General features: G+C 51.3%; 1 protein-coding gene across 2 annotated transcripts in view, besides 2 other annotated features; it reads right to left on the reverse strand.

Moving 5' to 3' along the window:
- The window catches only part of OTOF (otoferlin), a 101,554-nt gene that overhangs the window by 28,622 nt on the left and 57,671 nt on the right, over window positions 1-15,261 (reverse strand). For both annotated transcript variants that reach the window (NM_001287489.2, NM_194248.3), the window contains exons 9-11: window positions 9,118-9,249; window positions 3,854-3,916; window positions 3,387-3,471 (exon numbers count right to left, since the gene is read on the reverse strand). In NM_001287489.2, the coding sequence (NP_001274418.1) occupies window positions 3,387-3,471; window positions 3,854-3,916; window positions 9,118-9,249 (280 nt within the window). The remainder of the gene's footprint in view (window positions 1-3,386; window positions 3,472-3,853; window positions 3,917-9,117; window positions 9,250-15,261) is intronic.
- Window positions 3,982-4,224: a silencer, noted in NCBI's record as "fragment chr2:26712674-26712916 (GRCh37/hg19 assembly coordinates)". NCBI's record gives its function as "represses an EF-1alpha promoter that drives an FKBP-Casp9 reporter gene in an ReSE screen in phorbol 12-myristate 13-acetate-treated (for megakaryocytic differentiation) K562 erythroleukemia cells {active_cell/tissue: K562(+PMA)}" and the evidence as "EXISTENCE:reporter gene assay evidence [ECO:0000049][PMID:32094911]".
- Window positions 7,822-7,971: an enhancer, noted in NCBI's record as "active region_15474". NCBI's record gives its function as "activates an Ori minimal core promoter by ATAC-STARR-seq in GM12878 lymphoblastoid cells {active_cell/tissue: GM12878}" and the evidence as "EXISTENCE:reporter gene assay evidence [ECO:0000049][PMID:35858748]".

Below are 15,261 nucleotides of genomic sequence, written 5' to 3' on the forward strand. Positions count from 1 at the left end.
ATGCCACAGTAGAGTCTGAAGAGAGGGACAAGCAAGGTGAGAGGGCAGGAAGGCACGTGGATGAGGAGTCACTGGAGAACCTCAGCCAGGCTGGCAGGCCTCCAGGGAGGGGCCATGTCCCAGGAATCCCAGGAGCTTCAGGTCTTGCCAGAGCAGATGTGTGTCGGATGAGGAGATGGACAGAAAGCTCAATGAATGGGTGCATAAATGGGCAGAGGGATGGGTGGTGAGCTGCCTGGCCGGCTGAGAGATAGACGGACAGATGGTGAATGGATTACTGGATAGAAGGAGCCATTAATCTGTGGACAGGTGGGTGGGTAGATATATGGATGGGTGGGTGGATGGGTGGATATATGGGTGGGTGGATCTGTGGATGGGTGGGTAGGTGGATGGATCTGTGGATAGATGGGTGGGTAGATATATGGATGGGTGGGTGGGTGGATGGATGGATATATGGGTGAGTGGGTGGATCTGTAGACAGGCGGGTGGGTGGGTGGATGGATTCACGGATGGGTGGGTGGGTGGACCAATGGATATATGGATTGGTGCGTGAATGGATGGATACATGGATGGGTGGGTGGATCTGTGGACAGGTGGGTGGATGGATTTGTAGATGGGTGGGTGAGTGGATGGATGGATACAGGGGTAGATGTATAGAGGTGTGCATGGTTAGATGAATTGGGGACATTTAGCAAAGAAAGAGAATACGGTTCAGGAGGAATGTAAAATTTACCTTCAAATTTAAAGGCTATTTTTCTTTTTGTCCTGAAAGAGAGACGTGTGAAAGTGGGTGAAGGTTACAGGGTGACAGATTTTGAGATGACCTAAAGAAAGTGAAGATATCTAAAATAAGAAGTAGTGAGTGCCCCATTTCTGGGAGGACTAAGCAAGGTTAGAGGACCAATCAGAGATGGTGCTGTGGGGGTCCCTACATCAGGTTAACACTTGACTCATGACTTCTGAGGCCCTTCTAGTCCTAATACTGTGTGATCTCAGGCTAGAGATACAAGGACCACATGAGATCCTGAGCTATATGCTTACCAGCCTGAAACATCATTTCACCTCCCTTCAGCCTGGGGCTGACACCTGCCAGTCAAGGGTAGCCCAGCTGGGGAAGTTGCTGCATCCCAGACCTCCTTTATGATCTATGAGGATGAGTGTATGCCCCTGACTTCCTCTATGATCTATGAGGATGAGTGTATGGCCCGTCCTCACCCCCAACAGAGAGTAGCAAACAGTAAACAGTTTCCTGATGTTGCATCTGGTGGTACAAATGACAAAATGTGGTCCTGCCAGGGTGAGAAGAGGTTCTCTCGGGAAACCCCTTCCAGTTCCAAGAGATATCGACACCACCCAAAGCTTCCCAGCAGCACCCAGGAGTGTCTCTGGGAGCATGCTGTCCAACAATGCCCTGGCTGGAACCAACGACTCATCAAGAAGTTCAGGCCAAACTGGAGATATCAGAGTAAAGACATTGGGTCTCAACTCCAGGACCCATGTGACTTCAGGCTCTCCTGTCCCTGGGAGGGCACCAGGCTCAGGGCTGGATTCAGCAGAAGCAGCAAATCTCGAGCTAGGTTACCCAAGTGGAGACCTCGGCCCACATCCTGTTTCTGCCGCTTACTCACAATGTGGCCCTGGACCAGCTGTTTAAGCCTGCTGAGCCTCAGTTTCCTTATGGTGAAATGGGAATGATGCCTATATGGGGTCGTGAGGGTGAGGCCTGCTGGGACAGTGAGCTTAGCCCAACATCTGGCACTTACTGATGCCCTGGTGGTTTCCTCACCAGGACTTTACTACCCAGAAGCCCAGAGGTCCATATTAGACTAATATCTGCCTTTTTCTCCACCCCCTGACTTTCTCTTGGCTCTCGGCCTCAGGCCTGCCAGTGGTACCAGGGCCACTGCTCAGCCCTGGGAGGAGCTTATCCTCAGGGATGCCAGTCATTCCAAGCAAGTAGTCCACGGCTATGCATGCTTCCTGGAAAGCAACATGGCAGGAGGCCGACTCTTCCCTGCTCCCCATGGCACTGATGGTCAGCAGGGCTGCCCTCCGCTGAGGGCTATGGCATGTGTGGGGTGGTGGCAAAGGCACTGGCCTGGGAGCTGGAGACAGGGGTGCTACTCCTAGATGGTGGACAAACCCCTTCATCACCTTGGGCTTCAGTTTATCTTCACAGAGGCTGGACTAGATGTTTTTCAGGTCTTGGGCAGCTTGAGTGTTCTATGATCTTGTGATTTTTATGTGTATAATCTTGGTTTTGGACTCAGATTCCCTGGTCTAAGTCATAGTTGTAATGTGCACCAGCTGGACGTCTCTTAGGTTGAACCACAAGCGATCGCCAATTTGTTCAACCTACTAGTTTAGTGGTATCTCTAAGCCCCTTCATTTCTCTTAGCCTCATTTATCTCATGTGCAAAATGGGAAGAAATGCTGCTGCCTACATTACTGTTTTGTGAGGGCCCAATGTGACAATTGGGTGAAATTATGTTCTCACTGTCAAAGCGCCTAATGGGGTCATTACAGCACTCTGAGCAGTGCATTCACTTCAGGGACACAGGGTGGTCCCTAACCTGCCCACGTGGTGAGCTGTCATCTGGCAGGCTGAGGCACTTCCTCTGCCTGGCCCACCTCACAAGCCCTCTGGGCCACCCCTTGGGGTTCCCTTGCCAACACCATTGCTGTTACCCTACAGGACGCCACGGAGCACACATGGCTGCCCAAAAGCCTGGGGCTCTTGTAAGAAGTGTTTTCAGAGACCAGAGTCCCTCAGAGGCCGCCGCACTACATCTGGCATTGACCAGCATCACCGCTTTCAGATTGGATAGTGTGGCTCAGTGAGGCTCTGGGGACACACAGCCTGACTTCACCCCCGGCCAGCTGTGTGGCTGGGGCAAGCCCTGGCTCTGAGCCTCAACTGTAAAAGGGGACGGCAGGGTCCTGTGAGGGGTGGAAAGGGGTTCTTTTCTGCTCAGCAGGTGCCAGCCCAGGAGGCAGGAGTCTGGGCGCAGCCTCTCTGCAGGCTGTGACGGGTCTCCCTCACCGCATCCTCTACCACTACTGGTCAGCCTGCCTATGGCCAGTGATGCACCAGCCTGCCATGCACTCCAGAGCGTGTGATGAAGCTCCTTCCAGGCTCTGTGCAGAGTTACTCACCTAATTATGAGTGAGAACCCACCAGACTGGGTGCGCAGTTGCTCACTGCATTTGTGTACAGACTGTGCGCGCCACTTCTCCGCAGGCCAGATGGCTGTGTGTACTAACAGTCGCCAGACTGTGGTCCTTGCCAGCCTTTTCCCAGGAACTGCCACAGTGGGAAGGGCCCCGTGCACCACGCTCCCTGAGCCATGCACACCTCGACTGACTGGCCATGCGCAGGTACTCACCTGGCTGCGAGTACACGGTTCCCACGTCCATTTTGAAGGAGCCCACCAGGGTGCCACTGCGCAGCAGGTTCTTGGAGTGAATCACCTTTCAGGCAGAACCACAGCCCACCCGTCAGGCCCAGCAAGGGTGAGGCTTTCCATGGGGCAGTGGTGGGACCCGAGCTTTGTGGTGAAGTGGGAGGGCGTTGGCAGAGTGGGGTGGCTCACTGAGGCTCAGCATCAGCTCCTCCTGCCCACGCCAGTTTCTTGCTGGCCACTGTTTACGGGCGAATGCACTATTCAGAGGCATCCAATGAAAGGGGTGGGTGGGGGCCAGAATCCAGCCTGTCCCTACTTGCCCAGCCGTGTGTCCAGGCACGGCGCTGCCTCTTTATCATGGGTCTAGACAGAGGGGGCCCCTCTCAAGTCTGCACAAAGGTGCAGTTTGAGGGAGTGGCCCTGCCGGCCAGGGGCTGCTCCCCACTCACCGAAATCTTGATGATCTTGTCAAACATGACATCCGGAGAGACATGGAAGTCGAAGACGAAGTACTGGAGGGGGAAGGATCCAGGCCTGCTGTCACTGAGGGCAGCAGCAACAGCCCAGGCAGTGTTGGGCCCCTCCCTCCTCGCAGGGCCTGTCTGCACCCCAGACATTTGCCCTGAGCCCCAAAGTTCAGAGGAGCAGCAGAGGCAACTCATCTGATCCTGATTGACCCTGGTGGTGGGTGGTAGGAAGCAGAGCCCCATCCCCTAGGTGGGGCTGGTGCTGGCTAGTGTGGGGTGGGAAAGGAACTTGGAACAGTAGGTGGGACAGCCCATGCCCTTGTACTGTGCTCAGAAGAGGCACAGGGCCAGGGAGCAAGCAGACCTGGGTTCTAGTCCCCGCTCTGCACCTTCTTAACTGTGTGGCCTTGAGCAACACATTCTCTGAACCTCAGTTTTTTGAGCTGTGAAATGGGGATAATGACACCCACCTCAGAGTCTTGTTATGAGGCTCTGATGAGACAGTGTAACATATTTTACCAAATCTAAAGTGGCTACTGGCTGTAAGATATACTACGGTTTAATAAGCCACATGGACATTGCCATGAAGCCACAAGGCTGCCTAGGAGACACATCCCAAATTCAGAGAGGTGAAACTGTAAAATAACGCAAGCCTCAGAGCAGATGAACCATGGTGTGCCAAGCACTTAGTTGGCAGTCGATGTGAAATGCCATGGGTGTGCACTGTCCTTTGGTGCTGTGGGCTGCCATGCACATTTGCAGTCCCCATCTCTTCCCCTGGCCTGGGTGTGCAGGTGCTGAGGATGAGGGTGTGGGGCAGTGAGTAGAGGGGCTGCTGCTTTGGTGAACTGTGGTGGGGGAGAAGGGAGAAATATTTCCAATGTGCTTGGGGTAAATGTCCGAAGAGAACGTGCTCCTGGCTGCTGGGGGCTGGCCCTTGAGCACTGAGGGTAAAGCCAGCTTCAGAGCCAGCCCCACCTGGCTGTTACTGCTAGATCACTCACTTTCTTGCCTGAGCCTCAGTTTACCTATTATCCTATGAATGTGGAGATATGATCCAGGGCTGTCGTGCTGAACTGCTCCAGGGGTGCCATTCACTTGGGGGGCTTCAAGGTGTGGTTGTGAAGTTGCAATGAGACACCCTGGTCAAGTCTTTAACACAGGTGTGCACCACGGTAAGCACATAGCAAGCAGCGACAGCTGTGCATGACACTAACAGGCCCAGGGTGTGCTGGCCAGAGTTCTGAAGCTCTGGGGAGGCGGGTGGGGATATGGATTTGGGAATCGTCAGCACAAGATGGTAACTGACACCTTGGAGATGGAGGAGATACCTGGGGAGAGCATGGGAGGGGAAGCAGGCCCAGGTCAGGGCTCCAAGAAGACACAGCCTTTCAGCCAAGAAGTTAGGCCGGGGAGATGGAGCTGGAGAGACAGGGGAAGCAGGAGAGTGGCGTGAGGGGCCCCCAAGAGGAGCAGCAGGCAGCGGGATGAAAGAAACTGGGTGATCAAGGGAGAGGAGGATGACATGGACATTATACTCAGGAACAGCAATGTCCTTGGTGACCTTGAGGAGAGCAGTGTCAATGACATCTGGAGGCAGAAACCCTGCAGAGATTGAGGGGTGACTGGGGGGAGGAAGTGAGGACAACCCAAGTGGTCTGACTGTGGAGGGGTGGAGGGAAAAAGGAGGTCACTGGAGAAGTGTGTGGGAATGAGGAAAGGCCCAGAGAGAGGTGACAGACTCCTAGTTCCTGTCCTTGAGCACACATGGGTCTTCATGGTTGTACTTAGCATATGCTGGAGTAGAACACCTTATAGGCAAGGAAGAAGGGGCTGGAAGAAAAACAAAGACAGAGTTGGGCTGTGCAATGCCAGGTTCTTTGAGCTGTAGAAAGAGAAGGATCCAAGGCAAAGGGGAGAGGTGGATTTTCAGCAGGAGGAAGGATGGTGGCGCTCCCAAGATGCCCAGGGCGGGGCCAGATGCACACACAGGACACACAGGAAAGGAGCCTTAGTCTGGTTTGTGAATGGCCAGCTTGTTCCGGAAGGGCAAAGGTTTTGAGCTTCCCTGCACACAGGCAGGCTCAGGGCCAGGCAGGGTGATCAGGCCAGGTGCCCGCAGATGTGCCAGCCCCAGGGGAGCGAGCTAGCTGAGCTAGAGCCAGAATCCCGAACTCTCTGAGCTGTCTGCAATCAAATTCCTGTTATTTCCTGAGCATATTTTCCTTTTGTAATAGCTTAGATACCTAAGTCATGTTGATTGTTCCCACCTCCCTCTGTTGTTTTAATGGAGCCAAAGGAAGGTTCCTACCAGCTCAGATAATTAGTCAGAAATAATACATTCCCACGACGAGGAGGATGTCCTTCATTGAAAAGGAATGTGGCATAGAAAGAGAAGAAAAGGGAAACAAAGCTTTGGGGCTGGAAAGGCTGATTTGGGGCTGGAAGGAATCATAGTAAGATAGTTTAGAATGGTGGTCTCAACTGAGGGCGATTTCAGGGGACATTTGGCATGTCTGGAAACTTGGTAGCTGTAACTAAGGGGAGTTGCTATTGGCATCTACTGGGTAGAGGCCAGGGATGCTGCTCACATCCTACACAGCACAGGACGATCCCACCACAATTATCCAGTCCAAGATACCATAGTGCTGAGTTTGAGAAACCCTAGTTTAGAGGAAACAGAAACAAAATCAGAGCTATTTGGGTTTGTGAAAAAGAACAAAAATGTGATCAGAAACACATTTAAGATTGTCCAAAGATGAGCAGAATGAATAGTCAGTCTTAGAGGAAGTAAATAGGGAATTTAGAAAGATTCTAGGCTGAAACAAGGAGGGGACCTGCGCAGGGCGGAAACTGTGCCTCCTTCATCTCGGCAGCCTCCATGTTGCCCCACGTGCCACTGTCTGGTGTGCGGCAGATGCTCAGTGGATGTTTGTGTCTTCCTTTGGGTGAGTGTTACTGAACCCCTCCGAGTACATGCCTGGCTCTGAACAAATAGCGAGGCAGGAGACTGGGAGCCTCCAGTCCACCAGCAGGACAGAGACACGGAGGACCAACCTCAACTCCAGGACATTAACACTGCAGAGAAAGGGGAGTGCTGACCTCTGACCCAGACAGAGCAGGCAAGGCTGCTCAGTAGCAAGAACATTTGAGCTGGGCCCTGCCGGGTGAGTAGGAGTTTTCTGGGGGAGCCACAGAGTAGGGAGAGCAGCTCTGTGCCCTTGGGAAAGAGGAAGTAATTTGAATGAAAGCCAAGGTGTGTGGGCCTGGTGGAGGGAGATCCCTTAAGTTAGCAGAAGTGGCTTCACTGCTATCAAGTAACCACCGGGGCCACAGGGACCTGTCTCCATGCCTGTCTTGGGGACATAGATGCTTATCTAGGCGGAGACTTGTCCAGTCAGGATGTGTCCTAACGTAAGGCCAGAGATGTCAATCCTGAATGTCCTTGGGGCTGGAGGGGTCCTGAGCAGGTTGTCCAGCTCGGGGGGCCTGTGGGAAAGCAGCTGGGAGAGCAGAGTCAATTTGTGGTCACAAAGGAGAGTTCGGCCAGGCCTGGGCTGAAGGGCAGAGGTGGGCCTGGGTTTTCTTCCTGCAGGTGCACAGTCTGAGGACTCTCAGAGCTGCCTGAGAAATGCCCTCCCCCAAGCTACAGGGGGCACCTCAGCCCTCACCCACCTCAGGGTACGGGACTCAGCTGCCTTACTTGGGACAGCCTGGCACCCCTCACTGCCTGGAGCCACCAGGAGAAACAGACTGGGGAACCCTCCAGGAAAGGGATGGCAGGGCCCAGGCCTGTGGCTTCTGGGTTAGTCTGATGTGTGATCAGGCATCTGGGAAAGGCCTGGGCATCCTGGTGAGAAAACATTTTCAATGGTCCATTTTCAAGGCAGGATAAGTCTAAGTACTGGCATCCAACCTGCGAATGCAACAAACCACACGGCTCATGCACCTAGAAGGACACAATAAGCGAACAGAATGTAGAGGAGGGGTCAGCCCATGAAAGGGAAGAAAGTTTTGTTATTGGGAAATCGAAACTTAAGTGGGGAAATCGAAGGGGAGCGGGGTATAACCTTGTAAGGGGGAAAATGAAACTTAGGCGACGTCAGGGAAGATTGTAACCCCATAGTGCTCAACCAATGGGGAAGTGGGGGAGGGACTTGCACACTAGGAGATAAATTCCTGTTGTGACTGCCCCAGGGGTGCCTGCCTACCAGACACTCCATCTTGCAAGACCGTTATTAAAAGTCTCACTTTCGCTGTTCTTCATGCCTCTAAGTCATTCTTTGGGTTTTGATGAGTGAGTGTATTTCTCTATTTCTCACATCCCTCCCCAGAGCTGATTATGATGGGGTCCCATCTGGAGCCTGGGAACCAAGGTGCCATATTTGTGATGGTGGCCAGAGCCCTGGGCTGGAAGCTGGGTGGGCAGCCTGGCCCCTGCTCTATCAGCAACACTCTCTGAGATTGTGGGCAAGGCCCTTCCATATGGAGGCCTCAGTATCCTCCTCTGTAAGATGGGGAGATTAAAGTAGAAGGTCTCTGAGGTCCCTCACCCTTGATGTGGCCTCAAATGGCTGGAAAGAATAGGAGTGGGTACCAAATGTTTTCTCTTTCACACCCTAAAATCAAGGCCAGTGCTCTGGAGAGAAGCCCGCAGAAGTTTAGGCAACCATGAAGGAGCCGAGCCAAGAGGGCAGAACCCCACTAGCACGCCAAGGGCGATGCTGGCACTGTGAGGTTGGACAAGGTCTGCCTTCAGAAGTCTCACTGTCCCCTTGTGTAAAAGGGAATTGATAGTGACAACTTTGGATGGTCCAGTTCAGAAGCATTTAGGAGCATGCCTGGCTGGTAGAAAGTGCTTACTAATGGTGCCAGTGCCACCATGGGTTGGAATGAGGCAGCCCTGTCCTTGGGCTCTGGCCTGGGAAACAGTGGGAACCAGGCCTCTTGGGGAGTGGGGTGGGGGGGGGTTCTTTCACAGGCACTGCTGGGGTCTGCCCAGGAGCACCCGGGTGGTGTACGCTTCAAAGACCAGTGTCGGCCTGTGCTCTAGACTGGGGGGTTCAGAGGATTCAGAAGATGTGGCTCTGTTTGTCAGTGTCCTGGGGGTTGTAACAGGGTGGATCACCCCTGCTGGTAGCCCTGTGTGCTCCTTGACTTCCAGCCACTCCTATTTCTCCTGGGGAGGGCTGGGGCCACCCTCCTGCCATATTTACAGAGGCTCCTTTCCCCACAGGGCCACTGACCTCGTTGTAATAGGGGCAGTTAGTGGACTCCTTCATGGATGTGTACTTCTTGTCGTCACCCACCTCCACGCACACCACAGGGTCCATGTTCAAGCCCACCAGCTGCCGGGCCTCGATCACCGTGATGCTGACCTGCAGGCAGGAGAAGGGGGAGCCAGAAGGAAAGCTGCCTGAGCCTAGGAGCCTGGTCCCGCAGGGGTCCAGGGGCTGGGGCAGCAGGGTCAGAGGGAGGGCCCGGGAGCCAGCACTGGCCTCCTGGGCTCCATTCTGACCACTGCCTCTCATCTGCTGGGTGATCCTGGCTCTTTCTCCTTCTATGCCTCAAGTGTCTTCATTTATAGAGGAGTATGAGTTGGCTAACCTCTAAGTCAGTGTTCACTAGACTTAACTTGCTGGGCCGAAGGGAGGGAGAGGCATTAAAAACACTGATGCCCAGGCCACCTCCAGACCAATCCAATCCAATCCTGGACATGCAGCTCAGGCATCTGTATTTTTATTTTTTTGATGGAGTCTTACTCTGTTGCCCAGGCTGGAGTGCAGTGGCATGATCTCGGCTCACTGCAACCCTCTGCCTCCTGGGTTCAAGTGATTCTTCTGCCTCAGCCTCCTGAGTAGCTGGGATTACAGGCATGCACTACCACACCGGGCTAATTTTTGTCTTTTTTATACAGATGGGGTTTTGCCATGTTGGCCAGGCTGTTCTCAAACTCCCGGCCTCAAGTGATCTGTCTGCCTCGGCCTCCCAAAGTGCTGGAATTACAGGCATGAGCCACCGTGCCCAGGCTGGAATCTGTATTTTTAAAGCTCCTAGGTGATGCCAAGTGCCCTGCGTTCTTCCCCAGCGTCGATGGCTCTGCTTCAGAAAGAGCTGCCAAACCCATGTCACAGGTTTCATGCACTCAGGAATAAAGCTTTCAAAGTCTTCATTAACTTGCATTTAATTTCCTGCTCCAGGAATTCTCATGTAAGCCTGCAGGCCTCTGATACGTCTTTGCATTTCTGGAATTTGGCTCCCCCCCCTTTCCACATTGTTTGCTGAATTTCTTTGTTTGTATGGCCAGTGCGGCTTTGGTGCCTGCCTGAGCCGCCTTTTTCAGCCTACTGATTGTATGTTGTGTGCACTCTGCTGTGTCCTTTATGTGGCGTCCAGCTCTGCAATCTTACTTATATCCTGGGAAGCCCTATTTCAGTTGTTCATTCATGCAACAAATGTTTCCTGGAAACCTGCTGGAGCCAGGCACAGGTGGGATTGCAACAAATTCTTCCTTGTGGAGCTTACCACAAATGATTAATGGCTTTTTTTTTTTTTTCACACTGAGTCTCTCTCTGTCACTCAGGCCTGGAGTGCAGTGGCATGATCTCAGCTCACTGCAGCCTCCACCTCCTGGGTTCAAGCGATTCTTCTGCCCCAGCCTCCCAAGTAGCTGGGATTACAAGCATATGCCACCCCGCCCGGCTAATTTTTGTATTTTTTTTTTAGTAGAGATTGGGTTTTACCATGTTGGCCAGGCTGGTCTTGAACTCCTGACCTCAGGTGATCTGCCTGCCTTGGCCTCCCAAAGTGCTGGGAATGCAGGCACGAGCCACTGTGACCAGCCAATTATTGGCTTTTTAAGCTAAAAAGATATAAGGACAGAGAGAGAGACAGAGAGAGAGAGAGCCAGAGCACCAGTAATTTTTGACATCACTACTACTTTTCCCGAACCCTCATTTTAAGCCATCAGGTCTCATTTGGATTTGGAGGTGTCAGTTCCTGTCAGGGTGGCCATGTTAAGATAGACAGAGGCATGTACTGGGGGTTGCTGAACTTGGGATTGAACCCCAGACCTGACATGTTGCCAGGTGTGAGGGCAAATGACCACATAGCCTTGTGTTTTTCAGTTACAAGCAGAGACACCAGCTACCTGTAAGGTTGTATGCAGGTTAAATGAGATCATGTGTGTCAAAATGCATCCTAAACAGCAGAAAGCTCTACAAAATGTGAGTGACCCCAACAGAATCTCCCTTCAGCTAAGCGGTTGATCTCTCAAGTAGGGAGCTTGTGCATGATACTTAGAATGATTGATTCACTTGCCTCTCTCAAACGTGTGTTTTAACAAGAAAAGCCTTTCCCCAGCTAGAATAAGCATGGACCTCTGTACATTCTTCTTTTTTTTTTTTTTTTTTTTTTTTTTTTTTTGAGACAGAGTCTCACTCTGTTGCCCCGGCTGGAGTGCAGTGGCACGATCTAGGCTCACTGCAACCTCCACCTCCCGGGTTCAAGCTATTCTCCAGACTCAGCCTCCCGAGTAGCTGGGATTATAGGCGCCTGCCACCGCACGGCTAATTTTTGTATTTTTAGTAGAGACGAGGTTTCACCATGTTGGCCGGGATGGTCTCAGTCTCCCTCGTGATCCACCTGCCTTGGCTTCCCAAAGTGCTGGAATTACAGGCGTGAGCCACTGAGCCCGGCACATTCTTCTAATGCGACTCCGAAGGTTGCTTTTCATGCCTGTCATCTTGGAGATTTCATATTTTAGTTGTGCTTTGATGCAACTTCTAAATACGACTTTACTTGAGAGAATTATCTTCCCTTTCCATGAAAAAGAATAACCACTAAAATGATCATCCAGTGTCCATCAAAGTCTGAAAAATAACCTGAGGGTGATTAAAAATCTACACATCAGAAGTAATCATGTTAAGGAAATAGAAATTCCAATGTTAATGAGAACATTGCCAGGAAAGGGGATATTTACAAATGAAGTGACACTTGAACTAGGAAGCAAACATTTCCGTTTGGAACGTGAAGTGACAAAGGGACGGAAGTAAAAGCTTAGAATCTGGAGCTTCACAGAAGTTCAATATTCACTGCTCCTTCAGGGAGCTAAAAAGGAAATAGGACTAACTAACTTAGCTCTGAGAAGTTTACTATGAAGAGAGCAAACGGACACTAGAAGTCCTTCTTTGCACAATAGTTTGTAGAGTTTTAACTTCCACGAACCCTTTTTTGCCAAAGATTTTTAAAAACCCCATGAATTTTTCCACAACTAATGCCCCCACCAACAATAAAAAAGGCTTTCTATAACTCAGGACTGGGAAGCGGACAGACATAGTTTTGGCATCTACCGAAGATAAGCCAGCAGCAAGTCCTCTTCCCACTGCCAAGAGAGTGGTTGGTTTTTATGTTTTCCATCTCGAGGCATGGCCATAAGACAGGCTACTTCTCCCTGTCCCCCTTTTCAGGCCTCATACGTTTCTCCCTTCCTCCATGTAGCAGAGCCAGTGAAGGTGACAACCTGGGCAGAAGCTCTGGCAGTAGAGGCGGAGGGTGGAGGGGAAGGTGGGCAGAGGCTTGAAGGAGCAACGGAGGGAAGAGAAGCTCCAGAGGGTGCTCATTGCTGGTTGAAGGGCAGCCCCGAGAGGAAGCTGAGGGCGCTGGAGAAAGACCACCAGGCGCATGGTGTTGGGGGAAGGGGAATGCCATTCCTGCTGCCTCCCACCCCTCCTGGGGCTCTAGGAAGGGGAAATGATGCACTTGAAATAAAAAATAAAAAATGGCTGGTCATTCTCCAGGGTTCTGGGGGAGGGGCTTGGCCATCCTTCTCTCCAATCATCAGCAGAGGACTCAATTTTTCCAGGGTGGAAGATGAAGAGGCAAACGGAGCCACAGCTGGGACCAACTGACCAGCTGACTATTCCACCATCTCCTTTCAAGATAAGGGACATACTCCCCAGTGGCTTCATGAAAGCGATCACAAGGAATAATGCTGAGTGGTAAATCTATACCCCTGTCCTGGGAAAACCCGAGAGTAATAATGCTTTGTGACCTGCTTCCCAGGGACCTGATCCAGCTTCAGGAACATCTGCTGGGAGCCAGAGATGAGAGTTGGTGCGCCCTTTAGTACTGTCCTTCTGCAACATCCATTACCCACTCCCCACTTTTCCAGGTGGCAGAGATGTGACATGACCAGATTTGCATTTTCAGAAGTTTGCTCCAGTGGTGGCATGGAGTTTGGAGTGGAGGAGGCAATATGAGGGCAGGGAGACCAGGTAGAAAGTAGGTACAACCATGCAGTTGAGGCTGGGGACCTCAGGTCAGTGGCAGGGGCATGAAATGGAGGTGAAAACTGGAGAGATGTTGGGTGACAATGTATTAAGTCTTGGTGCCAGGAAGAGATGGTAATAAAGAGACTCAAGACCCCTTGATCCACCAAGAACATCTCTGCCAAGTGCCAAGCGTTGCTCACTCTGGTGGGGAAACTGCACATTCACAGGGGGGTGACTGTGGTTTCTTGCCTTGGAGATGGCAATAATCAGGAAAGAGTTTACACGTGACGTGCATTCTAAATGGAAGAAACAAAGAGCATGGGTACGCCGCGGTCCTTTTACCTCCAGGCTTCTTTCAGTGCCATAACCTTTAGAATGGTCCTGAGCCCTCACAACCCTTCCTGGATCTGAGTTCAGCTAAGTCTCCCCACATCTCACCAACGAGGTGTCCTTCCTGCGGTCTTTATATCTCATCAAACCCAAAGTCTCCAAGAGAGTGAAGTCGTATCTGGTTTTATTGCTTTTTATTATTTATTTATTTATTTTTAATTTTCTTTTGAGACAAGGTCTCCCTCTGTTGCCCAGGTTGGAGTGCAGTGGTGCGGTCTCGACTCACTACAACCTCCACTTTCTGGGTTCAAGTGATTCTCCTGCCTCAGCCTCCCAAGTAGCTGGGATTACAGGTATGCGCCACCACCATGCCTGGCTAATTTTTGTATTTTTAGTAGAGACGGGGTTTCACCATGTTGGCCAGGCTGGTCTTGCAATCCACTCATCTCGGCCTCTGAAAGTGCTGGGATTACAGGCATGAGTCACTGCACCCGGCCTGCTTTTATTGCATTATACACTGTATGTATTGGAAGTGAAAATAATTTCACATTTGCATCCTCATAGCTCTCACTCAAATGTTTGCAAGGTTAATTGTGAATGAACTTGTCGGGAAACACTATGCTACCAGGTTAAATACAACAACCGTTTTGTTCAGTTCGGTTTAAAAAGTCTTTGGAGGGGACAATGTCTGGTCCAGTTAATAAAAGTCTCTGGTAGGAGGCAGTTTGAAAAGGTTTGGAAAACAAGCACTAAGTAGCAAGATGAAGATGAACCAGGGACCCGAAGGGAGCAGCTGTCTAGAAGGCTTGATATAGAGAAGTCAATTGCTCTTATGGCTATGGCCAGACACCCCTGGCCTTGAACCCTGGCTCTAACCTTGGCTAACTTAGTGGCAACGACCTGGGACAAGTTCCTGACCTTCCTGGGGCCTCACTTTCTTACCTATAAATGCAGTAACACCTATATTTGGGTGGTTGAAGAATTACATTAACTTCAATGGAAATACATATATAGCTCCTAGCACAGTGCCTGGCATAGAATAAACCTTCAAAAATAAGTTTCATGAACAATAATGACTCTATTTTTGATGTGTCCTTACCTCTTAGGCCAGTGACATGATACCTGAGTTGGGGTCGTTGTTCTTTGGAATTCTCCAGTTCTCAGCACACAGAGAAACAAAGCCCTGAGCCCAATCCCTTGGAAAAGCCCTCGGAAGTCTCAGGACACTTTGTGTTTGGGTTTTGGCAGAGGTGAGGGGCCGGCATTCTCAAACCCCTAAGGAATCCAATGGCTTGAAGTTATTTAAAACCACAGGGGCAGGTCCGTTTGACATTGCCTGGGGCTGTTTTTCAGGCACCTGGGAAGACAGTTGCCTGAGTAGATGGAAACTAACTAAAACAAAGATGAAGGGAGATGAAGTATATTCTGGAGAAAACATGGCCAGATGTACCTTTTACATAGAAAAGTGCCATCTTATCCTTTCCATCATCACCTGAGTGAGGGGAGGTGGGGTTGTCCGTAAAGAAGGGTTAGTGTGCTTGGGGTCTGGAACTAGGCATCAGAGATAAAGCTCTACCCTGGTAGATGGGGCTCACTCTGATTCTGGGGCCTGGTGCTGATACCCAGACCGAACATCCCCAGGACAGAAGTGCAGTGGCAGCCAGGTGAGATCTCTTGCAAGCCCTGTCCCCTCTGAGCAGCCAGCATTCTAACTCAATCCTAGGAAAGCCCAGCAGTCTTCTGATTTATAGCTGAGTCCTGTTAGCCTCCAAGGGAGGGTCTGGAGCA

This window comes from Homo sapiens, chromosome 2 (genome assembly GCF_000001405.40).
Source record: "Homo sapiens chromosome 2, GRCh38.p14 Primary Assembly".
Taxonomy (NCBI): Eukaryota; Metazoa; Chordata; class Mammalia; order Primates; family Hominidae; genus Homo; species Homo sapiens.